The sequence below is a fragment of the Homo sapiens genome, chromosome 4 (genome assembly GCF_000001405.40).
Source record: "Homo sapiens chromosome 4, GRCh38.p14 Primary Assembly".
In the NCBI taxonomy this organism is placed as follows: domain Eukaryota; kingdom Metazoa; phylum Chordata; class Mammalia; order Primates; family Hominidae; genus Homo; species Homo sapiens.
This window is the reverse complement of record NC_000004.12, coordinates 140,721,039-140,747,147: the sequence shown is the minus strand read 5'-3', so window position 1 is coordinate 140,747,147 and position 26,109 is coordinate 140,721,039. Positions and strand designations below refer to the sequence as shown.

The 26,109-nt window shown below is 41.0% G+C and overlaps 1 protein-coding gene and 1 long non-coding RNA gene across 2 annotated transcripts in view; one reads left to right on the top strand and one right to left on the bottom strand.

Moving 5' to 3' along the window:
* Positions 1 to 26,109, top strand: part of TBC1D9 (TBC1 domain family member 9) — a 135,604-nt gene that overhangs the window by 9,238 nt on the left and 100,257 nt on the right. The gene's annotated exons all lie outside the window — the stretch shown is intronic.
* Positions 1,709 to 18,532, bottom strand: LOC124900786 (uncharacterized). Its single transcript, XR_007058282.1, has 3 exons — positions 18,504 to 18,532; positions 18,145 to 18,206; positions 1,709 to 1,777 (listed from the first exon to the last, which is right to left on the bottom strand). It is a non-coding gene; the product is annotated as an uncharacterized LOC124900786 (long non-coding RNA).

Below are 26,109 nucleotides of genomic sequence, written 5' to 3'. Positions count from 1 at the left end.
TCAAACTTCTGACCTCAGATGATCTGCCCATTTAGGCCTCCCAAAGTGCTGGGATTACAGGCATGAGCCACCATATCCAGCCTATTTAGTATTCTTCTTTATATGCATTTATTTATTTATTTATTTATTTTTTATTTTTATTTAATAGAGATGGGGTCTCACTATATTGCCCAGGCTGGTCTCAAAATCCTGAGCTTAGGCAGTCCTCCTGCCTCTGCCTCCCAAAGTGCTAGGATTATAGGCATGAGCCACTGCGCCCGTCCTATTTAGTATTCTTTACAAGACTGATATGCTTTGGCTGTGTCCCCACTCAAATCTCATCTTGAGTTGTAGCTCCCATGATTTTCACTTGAGTGGGAGGGACCCAGTGGAAATAATTGAATCATGGGGGCGGTTTCCCCCATACCGTTTCATGGTAGTGAATAAGTCTCACGAGATCTGATGGCTTTATATGGGGAAACCCCTTTCGCTTGGCTCTTATTTCTCTCTTTGCTGGATGCCATATGAGACGTCCCTTTGCTCTTCCTTCATCTTCCACCATGATTATGAGGCCTCCCCAGCCATGTGGAACTGTGAGTCAATTAAACCACAGTCTTTTGTAAATTGCCCCCTCTCAGATATGTCTTTATCAGTAGCATGAAAATGGACTAATAGATTAATTATAATGGTGTATATTAATCTTATTTTCCTCTTATAACCACCCCCCATTTGAAAATCTAATAAAAGCTATGGACTCTACCTTGAGAAAAATGAAAGCACTCCAAAAAATTGCATGCAATTTTAGGAGTTTAATGGATCTCAGGTGAATTAGAACGTAGGGGCTTCAAGTTAAAATATCTCAAGAGATGGAGACAGTTTCTCGTTATACAAAATCAAATGTGTGATTCCTTCAGTAAGCTGTTCTCTCAGAAATGTGTTTGTGTATCAACTATGTTTAGGGCGCTGAACTTTACAAAGATTTAAAAGAAAAAGCCAGTTTTTGTTGGGTCACATTATTAACCTTGAGATGAAACATGGGTGAACAAATTCGGGAGATTTGAGAACATAGGCATGGAGATGGTAAGAGTGCAGACTAATTAAGTCCATATCAAATTGTTCCATCTGAGTTAGAGCATTGGACTGTCCAGGAATTTGACATAGTGCATTCAGTGGAGACCTCCACAACTAGGGAGACTTTCCATTTTATAATCAAACAACCAAATAATTCCCAGAAATGTATGAGAAATAACAAAGTGATATTCATGAAGCCCTGACTGGTTAGGAGGTGTATGTTTTTAGGATAAATGCTTTCATCTTGCCAGCTTGTAAGTACTGTATTAGTAAAGTTGCAACTAGTAGTGCTTGTGTATTTATTTATAAATACACAGGGGGTTAGGGATGCCAATCCCCCATGCAGTCAAAAATCTGTATAATTTTTGACTCCCCCAAAACTTAACTCCTAATAACCTACTGTTGACCAGAAGCCTTACTGATAACATTAACAGTTGATTACACATATTTTTTGTTATATGTATTATATACTGCAGTCTTATTATAAAGCAAGCTAGAAAAGCAAGTGTTATTAAGAAAATCCTAAGGAAAAGAAAGTATATTTACTGTTCATTAAATGGAAGTGGTTCATCATAAAGGTTTTTGTCCTCATCGTCTTCACAAAGTTGAGTAGGCTGAGGAAGAGGAGTTGGAGGGATTGGTATTGCTGTCTCAGGTGACAGAGGCTGAAGAAAATCCCTGTGTGAGTAGATCCAGGCAGTTCAAACCCATGTTGTTTAAAGGTCAACTGTAATACAAAAGCAGTTAAAATTTATGTTAGCTCCTAATGGAACTTAATGTTATAATTGGTGTCAATGAAAAGAATCAAACTCTGTAAAATATTTAAAGAAGTCTATTCTGAGCCTAATATGAGTGACTGTGGTCCAAGGCACATTCTCAAGAGGTCCTGAGAACATGTCCAAGGTGTCCAAGGTGGCTGGGTTATAGTTTGGATTTATACTTTTTAGGGGGATGGACATAAGACATCAGTATATGTAAGGTGTAATTGGTTTTGTCTGGGCAGACAGGACTACTCAAAGAGGTGGGGCTTCCAGGTAACAGGTGGATTGAAAGATTTTCTGATGGGCAATTGGTTTAAAGAGTTATTATCTATAGATCTGGAATCAATAGAAAAGAGTGACTGGGTTAAGATAGGAGTTGTGAATAGAAAGGAGTGACTGGGTAAAGGTAAGGGGTTGTGAAGACTGAGATTCTTTTTTTTTTTTTTTTTTTTTTTTTAAACACTCTTGCTCTGTCACCCAGGCTGGAGTGCAGTGGCAAGATTTCGGCTTACTGCAATCTCTATCTCCCAGGTTCAAGCGATTCTCCTGTCTCAGCCTTTGAAGTAGCTGGGACTACAGGTGTGTGCCACCACACCCAGCTAATTTTGTATTTTTAGTAGGGACGGGGTTTCACTATGTTAGTCAAGCTGGTCTCAAACTCCTGACCTCAGGTGATCCACCCACCTTGGTCTCCTAAATTGCTGGGATTACAGGTGTGAGCCACAGCCAGGGCCCCAAGGCTCTTACGTAGATGAGGTCTCACAGGTGGATGCCCTTAGTGGGAATAGATGGCAAGTGTTTTCTACTCAGACCTTTAAAAGGTGCTAGACACCTAGCTAATCTCTTTAGGATCAGAAAAGTGACCTGATCTCTGTTTTAATGTTAATGCTGGTCAGTTGTGCCTGAATTTGAAAGGGAGAAGGGTATAATGAAGCATGTCTGAAAACCCACCTTCCCATCATGGCCTGAACTAGTTTTTTGGTTTCTTTGAAGTTCCCTTGGCTGAGAGAAAGGGTCCATTCAGTCAGTTGGGGGGTCAGAATTTTATTTTTGGTTTATATTGGTGACTTCTATGTGTTGGGGTGGGCAGTAGTCTATAGCTGTGTGTGGAGTTGGCTCATAATACATATTATTAATAGGAAAATGCTGCTGACAGGAAACATGACCAGACAAAAGCAGATTTTGCTTGCTTGTCCCATGAATCCCCCCCACCTCCATCCCATTATTATTATCAACTTTAAGATAATTTTGTTCACAGAATTCCATTGTCCATACCAATTTCTCTTGAGACTGATTTATTCTACAAAGAAACCGTGGGAATGAATGCTTATAATTTGTGCAGGATTTGACATGACATTTAACAACTTCTGGGTGTTTGTAAACTGGCCACAAAAACTAGGCAAGAAAAAATTTACTCCAAGCGTCCTAGAAATTTGAGGAATTTGAAAGGTTGAGGCAGACCTGCTGCTCTAGGGACACTGCATATCCTTTCTGCTTTGCCTTCCTCATGCACAGAGAGGACCCACTTTATGAAGAGTCAGATTGTGAATTGTGATATGGTTCCCAGGCCTGACCACAAAAGCCTGTTTTGTAGTTATGTACAGAACAGGATTTGTAATTATGTGGACCTAGGCAGCTTACAATGCCAACAGCTGTGGTAGGTACCACCTTGAGTTCTGAGTCTTGGAGGTGGAAGCCCATGCCTGCTTCATGGCACAGCAGTGTGCAGGGAATGCCACAGACAAAAGCCCTGAGGGTGGCTCTTTGCACAGCGTCTTTGTGTTCTCTGCCTCCCTCACTGACTTCTACTCTTTAGTCCTTCACTTAGTAAGCAGACAGCTGGATTCAAATCACAGCTCCACCTGTTGGACATGTGATTTGCAAAGTTTCTCTTCCTCTCTGAGCTTAATTCCCTTATTTAAAATGTGGCTTAATAACGTTTTAGCACCCGTTATGAAGAATCTGAGATAAGTCATGTAAAATACAGGAAACATAAAGAACCATTCATAGATGATTGTCCCATCATTGTCCTCCCTTGGTGATGATCTCATGTAGGTATTAGGAGGCAACTGGCTCTAATTCACAGCAATGTGTGAGTAATGGAAGAGTTCTGCAGTTTACAGAGACATTACATTTTCTGAAGGATGCTGTTAAAGCAAATGGATATCTGTCTGATATTTAGGCAGTTTGACAACATTAAGTCAAATACTCAGGCTTTTTGGAGAAGATAATTTTTGATCAGCAACCTTAAATTGTTTCTACGTAACTCCTTCCATCTGTCCTTCCCTCCTTCCTTTCCTCCTTCCTCCCTCCCTCCATCCCTTCCTTTCTCTCTCCTTCCTTCCCTTCCTTTTCCTCCCTTCCTGATACTGTATGTACATTTTGAAAGCTCTACCAGTAAAAGGTAGTTTCTTTCTTTCTCTTTCTCCTCCTCCTCCTCCTCCTCCTGCTCCTCCTCTCTCCCCTGCCCCTGCACCTTCTTTCTTCTCTCTTTTCTCTTCTGTTTCCTTCTTGCACAAATAGTCCTCTCTGAGAATGGCAAACTGGAATCACCAGGGAGAGGACTGGAGTGGGAAAGACAGGAGGAGGGGTCACCTTTTCTCTTTGGGGGTTTGTGGGGAGTGTGTGTATGTATAGTTACTAGAAATTTGTAATTTGAAAACATCCTCTACTAGTGAAACTAGAGAACTGTGAAGAAGTCAATAACCCACCTTCTGCTTTTCTTTGTTTTCTTTTCTTGTCAGATGTGCATTCTAAAAAGCCCAGTGGATGAGTCAGTCTTTTTTTTTTTTTTTTTTTTTTTTTGAGACAGAGTCTCACTCTGTTGCCCAGGCTGGAATGCAGTGGTGCAATCTCGGCTCACTGCAACCTCCACCTCCCAGGTTCAAGCAATTAGCCTGCCTCAGCCTCCTGAGTAACTGGGACTACAGATGCCCGCCACCATGCCCAGCTAATTTTTGTATTTTTAGTAGAGACGGGGTTTCACCATATTGGCCAGGCTGGTCTCAAACTCCTGACCTCATAATCCACCTGCCTCAGCCTCCCAAAGTGCTGGGATTACAGGTGTGAGCCACTGTGCCCGGCGAGTCATTTTTTAAGGTGTTCTGCAATTGCCACTGGCTTCTAGTTGATTTCAAATGGCATGTCACAGTTTTGCTGTTAGCTTTGTTGATGAAAAAATCCAAACTCTGTAAAATATTTAAGGAGATTTATTGAGCCAAATGTAAGGACCATGACCCATGACACAGCCTCTGGAGGACCTGAGAACATGTGCCCGGGGTCATTGAGTTATAGCTTGATTTTGTACATTTTAGGGGCACAAGTTACAGGCAGACGTGAACCAACCCATGTAAGGTGTACATTGGTTTGGTCTGGAAAGGTAGGACAACTCAAAAGGGAGGGGGCTTCCAGGTCATATGTGGATTCAAAGATTTTCTGATTGGCAATTGATTGGAAGAGTTAAGTTATTGTCTAAAGACTTGGAATCAATAGAAAGGAGTTTCTGGGTTAAGATAAGGGGTTGTGGAGATCAAGATTTTTATTATGTAGATGAAGCCTCCAGATAGCAGGCTTTAGCGAGAAAGATGGTAAATGTCTCTGTTTTGTTTTTGTTTTTATCTGGACAGGGTCTGGCTCTGCCGCCTAGGCTAGAGTGCATTGGCATGATCTCTGCTCACTGCATCCTCTGCCTCCTGGACTCAAGCCATACTCCCACCTCAGCCTCTCAAGTAGCTGGGACTACAGGCACATGCCACTACACCTAGCTAATTTTTGTATTTTTTTGTACAGACAGGGTTTCACCACATTGCCCAGTCTGGTCTTGAATTCCTGAGCTCAAGCAATCCGCCTGTCTCAGCCTCCCAAATTGCTGGGATTACAGGCGTGAGGCACCACACCTGGCCTGATAAATGTCTCTGATCAGATCTTAAAAGGTGCTAGATTCTTAATTAAATCTCTTCTGGATCTGGAGGAGATTTGGAAAGGGAAAGGGATTCTCTGCAAAATGTAGATTTCCCCCACAAGAGATAGCTTTGCAGGGCCACTTTAAATATGTCAAAGAAATATTTTGGGGTAAAATACTTCAATTTCTTTCTTTAGGGCCTGCTATTTCTCATGTAATGCTATACTAGAGTCACGTTGGAGTTTGGTATCTTCTTCCTACAAAGAATCTGTTTTGTAAGTCTTCAGATCTCTGTTTTAATGTTAATACTGGTCAGTTTTTCTGGAATTCCAAAGGGAGGAGATTATAATGAGGTATGACTGACAGCCCTCACCACCCCACCCTGCTCTATTCTTCCTACCATGGCCTGAACTAGTTTTTCAGTTTACTTTTGAAGTCCCTTGGCTGAGAGGAGAGGTCCATTCAGTTGGTTGGAGGGCTTAGAATTTTATTTTTGGTTTATAGGTTATTTACATATTCTTTCAGGGAACATTAGATTGCTAGATTTTCTAGTTGTGAGATCCACTCAGGAAATCCATTAAGATTTTCCTTCTAACTCTCCACTGGAGATCTAAGTTAGGAACTTTCATTTGGATGAAATTGACAGCCAAAATGAGTGATTGAGGTATAAGTCTCACTCCTCTCTATTTATTAAGCCAGCTTTAGGGCATGTCTGGGAAAAACACTAGCACAGACACATCTGTGGCTGTTTTTCCAAAGAGGTTTTCCAGAGGTTTAATATGTTTACATTTCCTTAAAGCAGGGGAAGGCATGTGGGAAAAGGGGAAGGTATGATGTAAGGCAATGGTTACATTCCTGGGACACTTTAATTAGTGCCTAGTGAACCTGCATTTTACATAAGATAAGGTGAATGTTTGAAGAGAAAGAGCGAGTAAAGGGGGAGTTCATTATGTAGACCCTCTCTGGGTAGGTGGAGGAAATGAACCTTGTCTTTCTCCTGCACCCAGGAAGATGAGATTGTAATTGGGTATTACTGGTGTGGAAAACACTTTAGTTTTAGGAGCTAGACTTAGATTGTTGACCTCAAGTTAAAATTGTCTGTCCCTGTTTTTGGAAATCCAGAAAAGAATTTACTTATTAAAGATCTTTTAGAGCAGTCCTTCAGCAGATGCCTGAGGCCTTTTACCTTTCCATGGGAACTTGGCTAATACATAGTGTTAGGAACAGCTATTCATTTGGAAGAGGCCTGTTGTATGACTCAGCCTCTGGACTGAAGTTCAGGGGTCTAGAGATTATTAATCAGGGGCCTAAAATCAACTCTTTTACTTTATATCTGGGTGCAAGGAGCACAAAGCTAGATGAAGTTCCATGAGGTGATGTCAGAAATGCACACCCATAACTGTACCTCCACTCCTACCTTTTCAGCTCCATTATTCTAAGGCATGCTGGACAGATACTTGCTAGAGTGAAGATCAAGCAGAACATTAAGGATTTGGTCTCTGTTTACACTGAACAAACAAAAGGGAACTCTTGTTTATCTAATTCTGTTTCTTCTAGATTACTTTTAATGCTTCTGTTTAAAAAAAATTTTTTTTTTCAATATGATAGGGTCTTGTTATTGCCTAGGCTGGTCTTGAACTCCTGGCCCCAAGCGATCCTCCCACTTCAGCTTCCCTAGTAGCTGGGACTATAGGCATGTACCGCTGTGCCCAGCTTTAATGCCTCTTAATAAGGAAAATTCTACATTTTGGTAATATGTACAAATGAATTTTTAAAAATTCATTTTATAATTAGCATAGACAATATATAGACAGAAGAGCTAAAATTTGCCGAAAATCTGTGATTCAGGCATCCTGCTGAGAACTTTTTCATTCTTTAATTGATTGTCATAATAACCTTGTAGGTTAGATATTATTCCCCTTTATATATGAGGAAACTGAGTTCTCAGAGAAGTATTTACCTGAGGAAACCCTGGTAGCATAGGCAGAGCTTGGATTTGTACTCATTTTTGATTGAGTTTAGAAAAAGAAAAGGATTAAAATGGGATATTATTTTTACAAAAGGAGGGAGGAAGATGATCTTACAGTGCATCCTTTAGAAAGCTAAAGGAAACTTGGGCAAAGTGAGTTCCAGTCTTAAAAATTCAGTTTTGAGCCAGGTGCGGTGGCTCAGCCTGTAATCCCAGCACTTTGGGAGGTGGGCAGATCACCTGAGGTCAGGAGTTTGAGACCAGCCTGACCAACTTGGAGATACTCCGTCTCTATTAATAATACACAGTTGGCATGGTGGCACACGCCTGTAATCCCAGCAACTTGGGAGGCTGAGGCACGAGAATCACTTGAATCCAGAAGGTGGAGGTTGCGCCATTGCACTCCAGCCTGGGCAGCAAGAGCGAAACTCCATCTCAAAAAGCAAAACAAAACAAAACAAAATTTAGTCTTGAGTGTGGAAATGAGGGAGCTAGTAGAGTGAGGCTGTACCTTCTCCCTTCTCCCATGTTTTGATGTCATTGGCCATTGTTTGTCATGGATTATAGTTATATAACTGTATGCCAGGGGGAAGTGTGAAAACTATGTGGATTTTCTCAAAAAAGTTTTCCAGTCTTTCCCCATTTTAAGGCTTCTAAGTCCAGCTGTCTTTGGGACCACAATATAGAGCCATTCCAAGATATAAAATTAAGAGGGCATTGGACATTTGACTGGAAGACTAGACAAGGAAAGACTTGTTTGTATGAATGTTCAACAAAGAAGACAAATATTCATGCTTATTGTGAGGGTGGTCACTCTCAAAAAGTTTTGTAAGCCAAAAAGTGTCTAAAACAGATCTCAATTTAGAGGTTTATTTTGCCAAGGTTGAGGATGTACCAGGGAAAAGGAAACACAAGTCACAGTAGGATCTGTGTCCTGTGCTTTTTCCAAAGATGGTTTTGGGAATTTCAATATTTAAAGGGGAAAGAGCAAGAAGGAGGGGAGTAAAAAGGGAGAGAGAGGTAGGCAATGAAGCAAGTGGTTACATTCTTAGGAGGCTCTGATTAGTCCTCAATGAATCTACATTTTACATGTGAAAAGAAAGGGGGGGTCAATTATGCATTCATCTCATGCTCAGCAAATCCACATTTTTACATAAGATAAAGTAAGCATGTGAAATTACAGCTATCTGTTTGGGAACAAAAGGAAGGCAGTTTTTGCATAACTCGGTTCCCAAGCCTAACTTCTCCCTTTCAGCATAGTGAGTTTGAGGTCCCAAGATTTTCCTTTCATAGTTTCTAGAGAACAAGAGAGGAGAAATGCAAGTTTGACATACCATGTTGATTTTCATTAATGTAATTTGTGTTAAATGTCATGAAGATTTTCTTTGTTTAATATCTGGTTTATTTTTCCTTGTGGACATAAAATTATTATTAAAGTTTTCATAGGATCATTACAACGTTGGCTCCCAAATCGATTTTTTCTTTTAGCAGTACTTGAAACTGGTAGCAATTTCAGGAGGTCCTTGAATAATGTGAGATTATATACAAGATTGGTGGAATTAACTGTGAAGGTGTATTTTTCTGGAACTGAGGCTCCACTTTTTATCAGCTTCTTAAATTAGATTGTGAATCAAAGAATTAAGAGCCGATATCCTAATGTCTAACATTCCTCAACTCCAAATTTTCCACCAAAGCGATTTTCAGGGATTTAGTATTGTGCTTGCAGCAGGATTACTATAAATTGTAAGACATCTTATATCATTTCCAGGAAATTCTCTTAGCCTTTCAACCAGTTGAAAATGTTCAGTTCACTTTGTATTGTTTAAACAATAGGAATGTATCACTGTCTGTGACTACAAAATGATAAACATGTTAGTGCTTGTCTCTTACTCTTATCCTGGTACCCAGATGTGGATCCCTTCAACCACAGCTCTTAGTTTCTTATTGTGGGGAAGACCCTATGGATGTGAATGTGAGTGTGTGTGTGTGTATGTGTGTGTGAGAGAGAGAGAGAGAGAGAGAGAGAGAGAAGGGAGGGTGCAGGGAGAGAGAGCTATTCAGGCAGAGATAGACAGAGAGATAGAGAATGGAGGGAGAGAGGGAACAGGGCATGGAATAAGAAAATGGAGGGTCTTTCCTTAATCTAGGAACTGATGTTGCCCTGGCTGTCCCTCTTCCTGCAGATCTTCCGCTCAGGGGCCCCTCACTAGGATTCTCTGTAATGTAGAGCAGGGGTCCCCAAACCCCAAGGCGCAGTCCAGTACTCAGGAAGGCAAGCATTACTTCCTGAGCTCTGCCTCCTGTCAGATCAGCAGCAGCATTAGATTCTAATAGCGCCAACCCTACTGTGCACTGCGCATGCAAGGGATCTAGATTGTGGGCTCCTTACGAGAATCTAATTCCTGATGATCAGAGGTGGAACAGTTTCATCCCGAAACCATTCCCACCCCTGCTGCCCCCACACCCTTGGCCATGGAAAAATTGCCTTCCACTAAACTGCTCCCTGGTGCCAAAAAGATTGGAGACTGCTGATAAAGAGCATGCAGTTCTGACAAGTGACTCCACTGGTTGCCTCTTGCTAATTCTGCTTCCCCACAGGGGAATGGAGAGAAGAGTGGGGTCCAGATACAGCACAGTGTGTTGGCATTTCCTTTTTGCACTCTACAATTCAGCTCTCAGCCTAATCATTGTACAGTTCTGATTGAATAGCATGGCTAACCCTACAGATCATACTCTGCTCTACTTAACTGTCAGGAGGCTAATCTTCATCATGAGAACTGCAAACCCCTCTTTCTTCCTGTTCTCTGTTTTGCAGTGGGGTCACCTCTAGTTTCTCAAATATGGCTCTGCTTGAGTGTAGCCACTGATCCTTAGGAAGAGGATGCCATTTGCCCTTTGACTTTATTTTATTTATTCATTTATTTTTTGAGATACAGTCTCACTCTGTCACCCAGGGTGGAGTACAGCGGCATGATCTTGGCTCACTGCACCTCTGCCTCCCGGGTTCAAGCAATTCTCCTGTCTCAAACTTCCAAGTAGCTGGGATTATAGGCACGTACCACCATGCCTGGCTAATTTTTGTATTTTTAGTAGAGATGGGGTTTCACCATGTTGGCCAGGCTGGTCTCAAACTCCTGACCTCAAGTGATCCACCCACCTTGGCCTCCCAAAGTGCTGGGATTACAGATGTGAGCCATCGTGTCCAGATGCCCTTTGACTTTAATCTGTTTATCTGATCTCACCTGTTCCTCTGAGCCCACTGTCTCCTTCCCCCTCACTCTCTCCTTCCCCCTCACTCTCTCCCTAATAAAACCCAATTTTCCTTCCTGACAACCTCAGCTTCATGGTATATTCTAGGGAGGTATCATGTAGCTTTCTTTTTGTAAATGACTCATAAATTTGTGGATCATTATTTTTCAGAAGCCTGATAATCTTGTCAGTATCATTCCAGTTTCAGGGTGTGTTTGCCCAGAAAAGCACTCGGTAACTTTTTTACAACATAAGTAGGTTAGGTTGTATCCTTGCTAGAAATATGTATAATGAGCTGTGATCCATCCCCGCTTTCTTAGTGCCAGTAAACACTCTGGTTGTCTAGCAAAAGACAGCTCTTATCTCTTGTTGTTGTTGTCATTTCAGTTTGTCACAGGGACTGTGCTCAATTGGATGTTATTGTACGCCACAGTAGGTCTTGCTATTCACTGTGCAATAACTGTACTAAACTTTGACATGTACACTTTTATTTTTATTTACTTATTTAAGACAGGGTTTTGCTCTGTCATCTGGGCTGGAGTGCAGTGGTGCAATTATAGCTCACTGCAGCCTTGAACTCCTGGGCTCAAGTGATTCTCCTGCCTCAGTCCACAGGTAGCTGGGAGTACAGACACATACATGATGCCCGGCTAATTTTTTGTGATTTTTAGTAGAGATGGGTCTCACTATGTTGCCCAGGCTAGTCTCCAACTCTTGTGCTTAAGTGATCCTCCTGCCTCAATGTCCCAAAGTATTGGAATTACAGGCGTGAGCTACCATGCCCAGCTGACATATATGCTTATAAAAGTCACTTGCAGATTTTTATTTCTGATGTGCCTATAACCCATTTCATTAAAGTTTAGATGAACACAGGATTTTATAAAGTCCTTAGATAAATACTTTTCTTTTTCCACTCTTATTCATGAGCCAGATCTTTGTCTTAGAGAGCCCATAATGGTTATGCAGAGTGGGCAATAGTATTTTCAAAAAGCTTAGTAAATGTAGGCAGTTTCTTTAGGGTTAATCATCTTTCAAAGGGCCTTAGGAATGTCCTTCAAACAGAATATAAATGTCAAAGAGAATATCTCTTTCTGTTTGAAATTATTTGGGCAGGTTGAAAGAATTTGATAAAGGGAAATTCTATATTTAATCTTTCATTGTAAATTATATGTGCAATGAAAGAGTTTAAACATTTTTGGAGTTTGCTGTCTTAAAGGCCTTTCTGGAATGTAAGGAAACCCAGCAGTGGTGTCTGCTAAATATGCGAATGTAGTTCTTAACTTCTTTGAGACTGCTTTTTATCTGAAAATGGGAGTGATTCCTCCTACCACCTCACATGTTTATTGTGAGGGTTAAATGAGATACTGAAAGCAAAAAACATTAATTAGGTTTTTCAAATTTGTGTTTATTATTTTTATTTTAGAGACAGGGTCTTGCTCTGTCACCCAGGCTGGAGTGCATTCAGCTTGATCATAGCTCATTGCAGCCTCAAATTCCTTGGCTCAAACGTTCTTCCCACCTCAACCTCCAGAATAGCTGGGACTACAGTACACCCCACCATATCCTGATAACTAAAAAAAATTTTTTTGTAGAGATGGGGGTCTCACTATGTTGCCCAGACTGGTTTTGAATGGCTGGCCTCAAACAATCTTCCAATCTCAGCCTTCCAAAGCACTGGGATTATAGGAGTGAGCCACCGCACCTGGCCTGCGTTATGTATGGCCTAATATGGTATTAGGATTCTGTGTTCCTCAATGTAGTTTTCTCTTATCAAAGTATCCACCATCTGGCTGGGTGTGGTGGCTCGTGCCTGTAATCCCAGCACTTTGGGAGGCCAAGGTGGGTGAATAGCTTGAGCCCAGGAGTTCAAGACCAGCCTGGGATACATGGCGAAACCCCATCTCTACAACAAATATGAAAAATTCGCTGAGTGTGGTGACACGTGCCAGTGGTTCCAGCTACTCGGGAGACTGAGATGGGAGGATTGCTTGAGTCCTGGGAGGCAGAGGTTGCAGTGAAGTGCTACTGCACTCCAGCCCAGGAGATAGAGTGAGACTGTGTCTCAAAAAAATCAGAAAAATCCAAAAAGCAAAGTATCCTCCATCTACTCAACAAAATCAGGATCCGTGGCAATGGCAGTATCAAAAATCTACAAAGTGGCCATCAGCTCGGTAATAGCATTTACCATGTAAGGATAGTATACATGAAAGAGCCTTGTCCACATGGAGCAGAGGTTCATTAGAAAGAAGGAAGGAAGGAAGAAAGGAAGAGGGAGGAAGAGCGGAGGAGAGAAGGAGGGAGGAAAGGAAGAAGAGGAAAATAAAAGAAAAATGTTGTTTACAATAACTATTTGGAATGGTAAGTTGTCAGCCCATTTGTTTTTTTGAATCTAGGTGAAACAGAATGACTATTGCTTATTTCTTTGGAAATGGTATAGTGCATTATTTTTATGTCACATATAGAGTTAAACAGAACGCATAGGCAGTTCCATGTACCTTGAGTTTTCATGAACCTTTAGATTCCATATACCCTGTGAAGACTTCATTCAAGGACACTCAAAGTAGAAACAGGCAGAAAACCTACTTAACAGATATCTGGAGGCCATTTGTCCAGACTGCCCAGGTATAGTCAATAAGATTATGACTTCATGGAAATGAGTATGTAAACACACATAATAAGAATATAATGTTTAGTTTAAAGTTGTAGCGGTGTTTGTTGAAATTAATAGGGAAAATGGAGGTCTAGGCATTACAGAGAATCAAATTTTTGTCCCGGAAAAACCTGAAGGGTGTAGAAAACATCTCCCAGATTTCTCTTGAAAGACTTTTTCTTTTCTTGGGCAAGTCTGGTCCTGACATCAGCTGAACAAAGGAGGGATTGGTATCTGGACATTTAATAACTCTTGGCATTTAAAAAAAAATCACATAATTATTTTCAAAGGGGAGTAAGGAAAGAGGCATATTGTCTGTATTGTAAAAGTCAAATTTTCAAAACTTTAAACAATTAGGAATATTCTTTATTGTGTAGATAGATACCTTTTCCTAAATATTTTAAAATATGTAGTTCTCTTTATTTTTTGTTTTTCCACCATGGATGGAGATACAGCTTATGGCTATAGAGGTACATTTCTATGAACAATGCTTGTAGTTTTAATTTTAAGAGTACAAGGTGATAAATGGAAACTGACACTCAGCTCTAACGTCAAGGAGACAGTCTGCAGTGATGAGGACTGGGGAAATTGGAGAGTTCATGCTGTAACTGAAATCAGTAGTCAGAAGCTATTTTTATAGTGGCGATTGTATTGTACAGTGTCACCATGATGTATATTGTTATAATTTACATATATATTATCTGTTGGATTGTATCAATAGGAATTTTCATTTCCTGATATTCATTAAGCATCCTTGAAATTTGCCCCAAAGTGTTACTGATTCAAATAATCACCCTTTCCACCAAAAAAAACCCTGGTTTCCTGTTAACAGTGAAGGAATTTTAGGGCTTGATGGGGTGTTATGTTCCTTGGTACAGACAGCTGTGGAAGACTTGAGTTCTATGTTGAAACTGGTTTTAACTTGTAATGGTGTGGCTGATGTTACCCGACCAACACCAGATTTCATTTCAGTTAATTAAATAAGTACTTAATGAGAGGAAGAAAGAACTGAGCAGTGTTTTATTTAGGACTTGGAGAACATGGGTGAGTAAACAGTAACAATGTCCTAAATGGGAAAGGTGTTCTAATTTCCCAAAAGTCTTCTTGTAATTATATTTGAGACATCTTACAATAGTATCTGGCTATTAAGGCAGAATGTATTTGCAGATTTAAATATTTTGCAACTGCCCAAAGATATCCATTAGTGTTTGGTTTTCTTTCTAAATAAGACCTGTGACAGGTCTCTGACAAAGACAAGCAACTGTCCATGGAGACTTGATGTCTTGGAGGTCAACTGGAGAAGATTAAGGTATAATATCTCCCATACCTCTAAGTCTCATTCCCATTTAATAAATTAAAACCACTGCATATTATATGTTATTCGTATGTTTATCAATACTCCTTTGAATTTGCATTTTCAACTGGTACTACTTCTAGGGACAGCAGACTAGTGAGCATAGACTTATGGTTAAGAGCCTGACTTCTGAGCCGTTACCTGAGTAGGGCCTATGTGGGCATTGTGCACTTAGAAAAAGATATCCTTTCTGAGCTATGTCACCAGAAAGGCACAGGCTTCCACGCAGGGCTGGGGCTAGATTTCAGCACCACCCATCCCTCTCATCCAGATAGCTTTATGCAATGTGCACATCACTCAGATGGAACACCAATATACCAGTTAAGGCACATTTTCTTTTATGGTATGGTGGAAAGAAGAGAGGTTTTAGAATAAGAAAATTTGGCTTTGAGACCAAATTCCACCAGCGTGTTTTTTTCATAGAGCTATAAAGTAAAAAAAATTGTATCTGCTCCTCAGGAGTTTTTGTGACGATCAGATTTGTAGTGAGTGCACTGAAGTACCCTGCAAATGTTTGGGGTGTGTGTGTGTGTGTGTGTGTGTGTATGTGTTTTAAAACTATGGTGCCATTGTGTAGGATTTTAGACCAGGTGTTCATTCTATAAGACACGCAACAGCTTGGAAACCATTTACCCTTTTGTGAATCAATCATTTTGGTGGTTCTAGAAACCTTTATTTTATTTTTATAGAGACAGGTTTTCACTATGTTGGCCACGCTGGTCTCGAACTCCTGGCCTCAAGTAGTCCTACCACTTCAGCTTACCAAGTAGCTGGGATTACACGTGTGAGCCACCTCACCCAGCCCTTTTTCCTTCTTTAATGGGTAGTCAGGAGACAATTTCTGGATTTGGGCAGTGAGACTCCACATAATAATTAGTGATCCTAATAATATGTAATATTAATTGAGTGTTTACTGAGAGCCTGGCACTGTGCTGAGTGCCTTACACATGCTCTCTTCTTGACCAACACAACAGCCAATAAGTAGCACTTACCATCATCATTGTGCTGCAGAGGATGGCACTGAGTGAGAAGCTACTCAGCAATAAGTGCTTGAGTTGGTGGTATGTAAACACAGGCAGTCTTCCTTGAGTCTACCTGCTTAAACCCTCTGCAGCCTACCTGCCTTTCCCCCTTGCATTTCTAGAACCTCAAAAGCAAGTTCAAATGGTCCCATGGTCTGAGTAAGAATGTGGCTGACTGTCTTTGGGTAAAGGACGAGCATCATTTAACTTGAGTTCATTGATGACAAGCAATTACTCTCTGAATCTTCGGAATACCAGCTCAAAGCATCTTCAGAATGGACAGTAGTAGTTCCAGTAGTAAGAAGGTATATCTGCAGGATTCTCCATTTTAGAGTGCAAGTACTCGTGCCTCATACTTGCTCCCTGTGGGCCTCAGCTCCATACCGTTGTGCATCAGGTGATTCCATGTACAAGCAAATTCATGTTCTATTTCTTTTTTGTTGTTTGTTTTTATTTTTGTTTTTTTGAGACGGAGTCTTGCTCTGTTGCCCAGGCTGGAGTGCAGTGGTGAGATCTAGGCTCATTACAACCCTGCTTCCCAGGTTCAAGCAATTCTCCTTGTCTCATCCTTTTGAGTAGCTGGGATTGTAGCACCCACCACCACACCTGGCTAATTTTTGTATTTTTAGTACAGACGGGGTTTTGCCATGTTGGCCAGGCTGGTCTTGAACTCCTGACCTCAGGTGATCTGCCTGCCTCGGCCTCCCAAAGTGCTAGGATTATCACAGGCATGAGTCACCATGCCCGGCCCATGTCCTGTTTCTTGATGTCTCATTTAGACAGTGCCGTCAGATCCATTATTTGTCAGGGTATCTTTGAAAGTCTTAGACAACATCTGATATCCCCTGGTACCAACAATGTAAGGCAGAGGGCTTTTTCCTGACCAGGTTCCCTTTGGTCTCAGAGTGGCCCGTTGACAAACACCAGGCTATAGGATAGACATTAATGTTACAGTGGCCTGATGAGGAAGAGCTACTCATGATGGTCCCATGCAGGCTTACTTATCATATCAAGGATTCAACTCTTAGAAAAAGCTTTTTAGTGCCTGGAATCAGAGTGGGACTCAAGGGCTGAAGCTTTATGAAGTTACACAAAGAGACACATAAAGTGGGTGAAGACTTTTTTCTGCCTGATTTCCAGGAGTCTATACGGGGGAAGGCATAAACCCTGGCTCTTGCTAAAATGGAGAATTTTGGCCCTGCAGAAGCCACAACAAAATACCTGGAAAAGTGGGTGGTGACAATACATTCAAAACAGTGCTTTCTCAGTGCTGGGTACCCCCTGGGGGAAAAAAAGACAAAAAATAGTTGTTTGCTCAGATTCAATGAAATAACCACTCAAGGGGATTTTTTTTTTTTTTTTTTTTTTTTTTTGAGATGGAATCTTGCTCTGTCACCAGGCTGGAGTGTAGTGGTGCAATCTCGGCTCATTGCAACCTCTGCCTCCGGGATTCAAGCAATTCTCCTGCCTCAGCCTTCTGAGTAGCTGGGACTACAGGCGCATGCCACCAGGCCCAGCCAATTTTTTTGTATTTTTAGTAGAGACGGAGTTTCACCATGTTGGCCAGGATGGTCTCAATCTCTTGATCTCATGCTCCTTCTGCCTTACCCTCCCAAAAGGGGATTTTTACAAAGGAATATGGCAAGGGAGAAAAACCCTGTTGTGTCATTATTTTTTATTCTATTTTGAAAATCAAAAGGAAGGGAAGTGCAACCTGTTACATGGAACTGAAATTATCATCTCCCTGGTGCCTCCATGGGGCCCTTTGCTGTTGTGATGGATAAATTGCAGTTCGAGAATGTGTTTGAGTGCAATCTCATTTTCATATCATCAGAATCTTCTGGGATTAGTTAAATCTCATTGAAACTGAGGATTTGTTCAAACTATGCATATCTCTCATATCTTATGAAAAGTAAATTATCTAGTATACACATTACGTCTGTGTAATTTTACTTTTACGTAGAGCTTCACATTCTGAGATCCAATGAGGTGGTTTCATCCTGTCGTTATGGGAAACGTGAAATGTCAACCTTCAGAGAGGGTAACCAATTAATGGCTGTGGCAAATGAGGACTGCATGACAGAGGGAAAATCCAAAAACAGGAAAGAGTAAGAAGAATAGAAAGATGTTAAAGCATTGCCAAGAGGATCTAGCATGGGCCCCAGAATGACACTGAAAATTTATTTACCTTCCATGTGCCTCAGTTTTCATCCAGAGAAGTAGATTTCGACCTGGTCCAGTGGCTCATGCCTGTAATCCCAGCACGTTGGGAGGCTGAGTCAGGTGGATCACTTGAGGCCAGGAGTTTGAGACCAGCCTGGCCAACATGGTGAAACACCGTCTCTACTAAAAATACAAAAATTAGCCAGGTGTGGGTGGCGCACACCTGTAGTCCCAGCTACTTGAGAGGCTGAGGAAGGGGGATCGCTTGAACCCGAGAGGCAGAGGTTGCTGTGAGCTGAGATCGAGCCACTGCACTCCAGCCTGGGCGACAGAGCCAGTCTCCTTCTCAAAAAAACAAAAAAAGCCGAGCGTGGTGGCACGTACCTGTAATCCCAGCTTCCCAGCTACTCGCGAGGCTGAGGCACAAGAATCGCTTGAACCCAGGAGGTGAAGGTTTCAGTGAGCCGAGATTGCATCACTGCACTCCAGCCTGGGTGACAGAGTAAGACTGTCTCAAAAAAAACAAAACAAACAAACAAAAAAAACAAGTAGATTTCTACTTTTCTAAGATGGCTAACTTAAATTAATTGAAAGTTTTGTTAAAACTGTTACTTTTTTTTTTTTTTTACCATTTAAAGTTAAAAATTTTTTAATATAACCCAGAAACACTTGACTTTGAGAGAATTCTGTTTATTTTCCCCTTTCATTGGATTATGGCCAACATTCCTGACTGGTGCAGAATATGGTATCAAAAGAATGTCTGCAGTATGTAGCCAGTGACCTTTATAACAACTGTGTGCATTGCATTTGGTGGAACAGTGTTTACCATCTTACTTTCTTTATTAACTTTGGGCCAGTAGAACCTGCTTGTTTTAGCTTTAGCCATGGCAACAGGCCAAATATCAGAATGACTCCCTATACTACTTCTGCAAATACTTTAAAAATAAATGTGTCCTTCCTCCTATAGGAGCTAGAGTTAAAAGTAAAAAAGTAAAATAAAAGAAATGTGCATGGAAACTCTACTCTATTTTTCTGGTAGACTATGATTTCTTAAAGAAAATTTTATCTGGAGAAAGAATTTAATTAGCAAAAGGTAATACTCCTTCCGTGCAATTAGAGAAACTAGAGATAGCAAAGAGAGGCCAACTGACTGCTCAGGTGGAGTTTACCAGCAGGTAGTACTTTGATGGGTGTTATGCCATTCCCACCCCTTTTTTTTTTTAACTTCCTGGCTAATTCGTCACTCATTCATTCATTCATTTATTCACTTGTTCACTCATGGAACAGATATTAGGTGCTTATCACATGTAGGCACCAAGGATGCAGAAATACATGACAAATTTCTTTGCTTAAGAGACTGTATTCAGCAAGAATCTGCTGAATAGCACATTCTGAGTCAGAACAATAGATTTTTAATATGGAAATTAGTTTCTTGGTTTTTGATAAGACTTAATGAGAGGCTTTCAAATGCACACTGTAATATATGTGCCCTTTATGGAAAATAGTTATTTGTGCTGAATGGGGATTATAGCATCACAAAATGTCCACGCTTCCATCCTAGGCCATAGGTGGTTTGGGACTCTGCCCCAGGCTGGGCTTTGAGAGCCTGAACGTGGCCACCAGAATGGGGCCTGGCCTGCCCCACTGCTGTGGGCAGTGATGCAAAGAGAGAATCAAAGGTGAAAGTAGATGCAGGAGCCAGGAGAGAGCCAGGTAGTCAGGAGTCTGACCCCTCAGGGGCTTGAGAATCAGATCCACAGTAGAGTCTTCCACTGGGGCAGTGAATAGGGGCAATCACTGCATTTCAAACAAATTACAGATAATTAGATGGTAACTCATTATGGCTGTGTTTTGCACACTAGGCTCTGTGAACTGCTGGGGATCTGTATACCTCTCAGAGTCTAAGTTCTCTCTATAATTTTTAAATTTGATATTTTCATTTTTGTTATGATGTTAAGAATGCTAACAAGATAACCTTGATACAAGTTTATTTGGGGTTATCAGAATGACCACCTTATGACTCACCACTGACACCCAACTTTAGTGTTTGAGTTGGCACTTGGATTTATGACTGGGTTGACCGCATATCAGTTGTTATGAGATATTGAGTAAATGACAGAGGCAGCTTGACTATGTAACAGATGCATTTGGGCAAAAGAAGGGCAAATGATTTTGCAGCACACTAAGCAAAGAATAGAGAAAAGTTGTGGTAGAGTAACTGCTTTGTGTAACAAAGATAATGTGGTATGCTGAATTCAGGAGAACTTGGGCCATGTTACTCTGTACAGCATTTCTGATCAAGTCGTGATTTAGTTTTAACAAAACAATCTCATCTTGCACAATAAGTAAATGTGGTTATTTCAGACTTTCATTGGTTTTATAATTTTACCATATTTATTTTTAAATATAGCTTGGTTTTATAATTATATTATAAATGAGCTTTGAACATAAGAAGTTTATACTTGGTTTTATGTTTGTGTGTATTTAAGTAACACCATTTCAAGACAAGGTAGTATTGGGGGTAGGGGTGTTGTGAGAATGTCTCTACTTTCAAGCCCCATAATTCACATTTAGGAAAAGATGTAAGAGGAGAAAAGTTTGCGCATGTTGACCCTGAGCAGCTGTCCCTCAAGCATCCCCTAATTCTTGAGGTTAATAATTTATTAGTGTTCTCAACAAAGAATGTATTTGACACAGGCACAAATATACTTTTTAAAATTTTTAAAATTTTTTTTTTTCTGAGGCGGAGTCTCATTCCGTCGCCCAGGGTGGAGTTCAGTGGTGCAGTCTTGGCTCACTGCAGCCTCCACCTCCAAGGTTTGATTGATTCTCCTGCCTCAGCTTCCCAAGTAGCTGGGATTACAGGCATGCACCACCACGCCCAGGTAATTTTTGTATTTTTAGTAGAGACGGGGTTTTGCCATATTGGCCAGGCTGGTCTTGAAATCCTGACCTGAAGTGATCAGGAGTTTGAGGTGATCAGGAGACCTGCCTTGGTTTCCCAAAGTGCTGGGATTATAGGCATGAGCCACTGTGCCTGGCCAATTTTTTAAAGTTTTGAGTAACAATATATTTATATGGTTCAAAGATCCAAAGATATTAAACAGCATACAGTGGAAAATTTCTCAGCCCTATTATCACCGACTCTAGGTCACCATTGTATTTATTTTTTCATGTTCTCCAGATTCTTTTTGCATGTACAAGCAAATTACAATATGTAATTTTATCCCACACTTCCCTGAATCCTTTGTACAAAAAGGTTTTTCCATACCGTGCTTTTTTCAGTGAACAATTGCCGTGCCCAACCCCTATTAACTCCAGGAGGGAAGGCACCAGGCTCAAGAGGCCAAAGATGAGATCCGCATCCAGCAAACGAGATATGGGGTTTTACTAGAGGGAACTTATTTCCAGAGTGGTCCAGTGTCAGTGAGCTGGACAGGAGAACTGCCACCAGTTGTAAAAAGCATGCACTTTATATCACATTTTAACTTAGCACTCTCCCCGTAACAACCTCCACCCAGCAACCTTCATTTAAACTAAAACAAAGGGCCCCCATCCCCTGTACAGCTCTTGTTCCGCTGGACCTGACAGGGGTTCAGATGTTCCTCATAGATGAGGAATGAATCTCCAGGTTGGCTCCTCTTGAATTCCTTAACTTGGAACTCTGAACACACAATCAGGTGCATAGACCATACAGGGTCGTTCTCAGGGTATGCTTAAGTTATTGCTGTCAGGTTCATCTACCGTACAATGGTATATCTTTCTGTATCAAAACATAGCATGTCATCTTTCTTTTGCTTTTTATTTTTTATGATTGCACATTCCATTATATGGCAATGCCATCATTTTATTTACTCCTCTGTTAATGGACGTTTATTCTATTTTTCGGCATATACTATAAAACTGTTGCAATAAATAGCCGTGTACATATGTTATTTGGCTAATTGTGAAATATATTTGTGGAAAAAATTTCAACAAGTGAAATCGTAGGGCCATTGGTATATGCATTTGCAATTTTGATAGGTATTGCCAAATTCCCCTTCCTAGGGGTTTTACCAAGTTGCACGCTCACAAACCATGTGTGAGGAATGTCTGTTTTCCCAGTCTTGCAAAACAGAATGTGTTATCATATTATGGATTTTTGCCATTCTGACAAGTGAAAATGATATTTCAGTGTACTTCTAATTTGCATTTTCTTTTAAGTGTTGTTGAACATTTTTTCATGTTTACAAGCCATTTATAGATTTTTTTCCTATAAATTGTACTTGCTCTTTGCCCACTTTGTTTTTGGTGGTTGCTCCTTTTCTTATTGACCAATTTAGGAACTTTGTATATTAGGTACATGAGCCTTTTGTGTGTGATCTGAGTTGCAAGTTTTTTTTTTTTTTCCAATTTCTCTTAATTTAATGGTGTTTTTGACATGTAGAAGTTTGAATTTTTATGTAGAAGAATATATCAGGTTTTTCATGGCTTTGGGATTGTGAGTCACAGTTAGAAAGCCTTCACCACTCTAAAATTCAAAGAGAATCTTGAAGAAAACTTTCAAAATTTTGTATGCATCAGTGCTGGTTAGGTTGCCATTGAGAAAATGGCCGCTGTGTACCTGGGCCAGATCATAGTTATGTGAGGCTGGAAATTTATGGCTCATTCTACATCATTCTTGTCTGTAGCATAGCTTCAGGGAGCTGGTGCTGGACAAAGCTATATCCAGTTGCCTATTGAACTATTAACAGACCAGCTCCGTCCTTAGCTTGTATCCCATTTCTTTTTCTTGGTACTTTTGAGTGGATGGTGAGAAAGAAGAGGTAGAGTAGAAATGACCAGCTGGTCCGGGACACTGTGCCATGGCCTTGCATTAATCAGGCCTGTTTGGTCCCATTCACAAATATGCCATCATTTGTTATTTTTATGACATTTAGTATCTCAAATGCGTTCAGAAAGCAATGCCACCTCAATAGTTGAGAAGTGGCTTTGATCTTTTAACTTGACATTTTTGGCTGGCTCACACCTGTAATCCCAGCGCTTTGGGAGTCTGAGGTGGGAGGATCGCTTGAAGCAAGCAGCTTGAGACCAGCCTAGGCAAAATAGTCAGACTTTGTCTCTATAAAATAAAAATAAATTAGCTAGGCATGGTGGTTCACGCCTGTAGTCCAAGCTACTCAGGAGGCTGAGGTGGAACATTTGAACCCAGGAGTCTGAGCTATGATCACACCACACACTCCAGTCTGGGCAACAGAGCAAGACCTTGTTTCTAAAAATAACATAGATAAATAAATATGAATTAAAAATAAATATACGACAGTTTGTGGGGCTTATATGTTAAAATTTTTCTCATTTCAGTAATTCTAAGAGCCTGTCCCAATTTGAAGGAATCTATGTTAAAGACTGGGAAGTAGGCCGGGCATGGTGGCTCACGCCTGTGATTCCAGCACTTTGGGAGGCTGAGGCAGGCGGATCACTTGAGGTCAGGAGTTTGAGACCAGCCTGGCCACTATGGCGAAACCCTGTCTCTACTAAAAATACAAAAATTAGCCATGCATGGTGGTGCACACCTGTAGTCACAGCTACTTGGGAGGCTGAGACAGGAGAATCACTTGAACCCAGGAGGCGGAGGTTTCAGTGAGCCCAGATGACGCCATTGTACTGGCCTGGGCGACAGAGTGAGACCATGTCTCAAGAACAAAAAAAATCTGGGAAGTAAAGACCTGAAGCCAGGTCTGTGGCTGACACCTTCTCTTACTAAACCCTTCAAGGACACTGGCAGTTTGGTAACGCAGGTTGAAGCCATAATGATCTAAGTTGTGGAACATGGACATCCTTTGTATTCATGCAGGTTACCCAGGGTCCTGAGAAGAGAAGCTGAGAGTACATAGCATGTAACAGTAATTACTAAGCATTATTAGAGTTTGTAATTCAAGATGCCATAATCACTCAGACACAGTAAGGCCTTTCTTGTTTGGAAGAACTCTAATGAGTGGGTCCTGTGATTTCCATTATACAATGTCATTTGATAGCCTAAGAAAAGGTTAAACATTTACCCCCTCACAAAGAGGTTGAATCAAGTAAAGAGTGGGGAAGGGACAGAAAAGAAAAAGGGGGATTGAGAGGTGAGAGAGAACCCCGAAGAGTAATAAGCTATAACTCAATGGGGAGGAGAACTCCCGGTGAAATCCATGTTCTGAGAAGGAAAGGACAGGGGAGAATCAGAGGCATGTCCAGGAGGGGGTGAGAGTGACATTTCAGACAAAGTAGTGATGAGAGTCTTTTCCTAGTAAAATTTAAAAAAGAAATAACACCAGCCTGGAGCAGAAAATAATGTTTTATTTGTTTTAATAATAATTGAAGAGTAAAAAGATAGTTTACAAGGGTATCATTTTTAAGAATTATCATTAGGTCAGAATTTTAGTGTTCTCTATCATTATGTGATTTGCCAGCCTAGCTTCTCCCCACTCATCCCAAGGTTCCTTAAGATCAACATGGCATTACCAGGACCCAGCCCAGTGCCAGACACATGGTAAGTCACTTAGCAAATGTTTCCCAGATGAACAAATGATTGAATGATAAATGAATTTGCTGTTTGGAGTATATTTAGACCTCTGCCCCAAGTTTAATAAAAATATTTATGGTGCTGGCTTTAAGACATTGAGTTACCTGCCTATCTGCAGTACCAGATGGAAAGGTTAAGGGGAAGGATTTCAACAACCACACTTGGTTGCAGTTTACATTGCTGCTTCTCTTTATTTCTGAGCTTTTTTCCCCCTCTTTCATTAATGGAAAATGAATGAGTGAAATTTAAAAGTGATTAGTGGAATTTCTCAGGCATGTTCCTTTCCTTGTTTCCATGCCATTTGAAGCTATTATGGTTGAAGCTTGGTCTGAGTAAACATTTTCTCACCCCCCATAGGCTCCCCTGCTACTATGAATTGAACTTCAGTTAACTACTTCCATTGATTAAAAAACAGACTCCTATAGGAGTCCCAGGACAGGGGAGGAATAAATCCTGGCCTGGTGATGGGACAGGCCAGACCTGGGAGAATGGGCTAGGTATGTAGATCCACTGAGGCTAGGCATGGAGTCTGGTAAGGGCTCAGCAGAAGGCAGTTGGTTAAGGTCTAGGCCGAGATGAGCAGATGTGAGCAGGTAGAAGGACTACATGCTCAGGAGATATGAGGTGTTGGGCAAGTTATCAAGACGGGCATTCAGTCACAGGAGAACAATTCTAGACACTGGGTCAAAATGATCCTGTTATTAATAAAACCAGCAGGAAGATGGGGGTTTGGAATCTATCAACATTCCAGAAGTTACACAAATGGGGATTACGGAGAATACTGAAATTGTTATAGATTATCAGCTAAAAATAATGAAAATGGGAAGGATGCTGTGGAATCTGAAGTAGGTAGGGATTGAAATAAGGTTGAATTTTCTGGAAGCTAGAGAAAGTCCAATTATTCCTCTTTGTATTTGTGTGACTTCCCTCTTAGCATCCTCAACTCCCTTGAACTTATCCTAGAAGCTGATGCATCGACACTCCACAGGCTCTGGAGTCCAGCCGCCCTGGCCCAATGACTGGAGCTGCCACTTAGTAGCTGCCACCTGGTAGCTGCATGCCCCAGTGTCCTCATTCATCAAATAGGGATAATAATTGCATGTATGTCTTAGGATATTGTGAGGATTAAATTAGAAAATGCACATAAAGTGATTAGGAGCCTACCTGGCGTAAGGTCACCACTGTTAGCTATTACTGATGATATTTGATTGTTGTTTCAAGGGTTAATTGAAATAGTGTATGTGTGGCGTATCTAGTACATTTTAGTTTCACTTCTGCCTTTTTGTAACAAAGCCAACCAGAATATAAACAAGATTTATAGTGCAAATGGAGACCATGTTCCCCAGACCCCGCTGCACCCTCAGAGAGGGGCCCCCAGGATCTCCAGTCTTCCCCACCCTTCTAGGTCCACTTATCTGCGGCCAGTTAGGTGCGGTGCAAGTC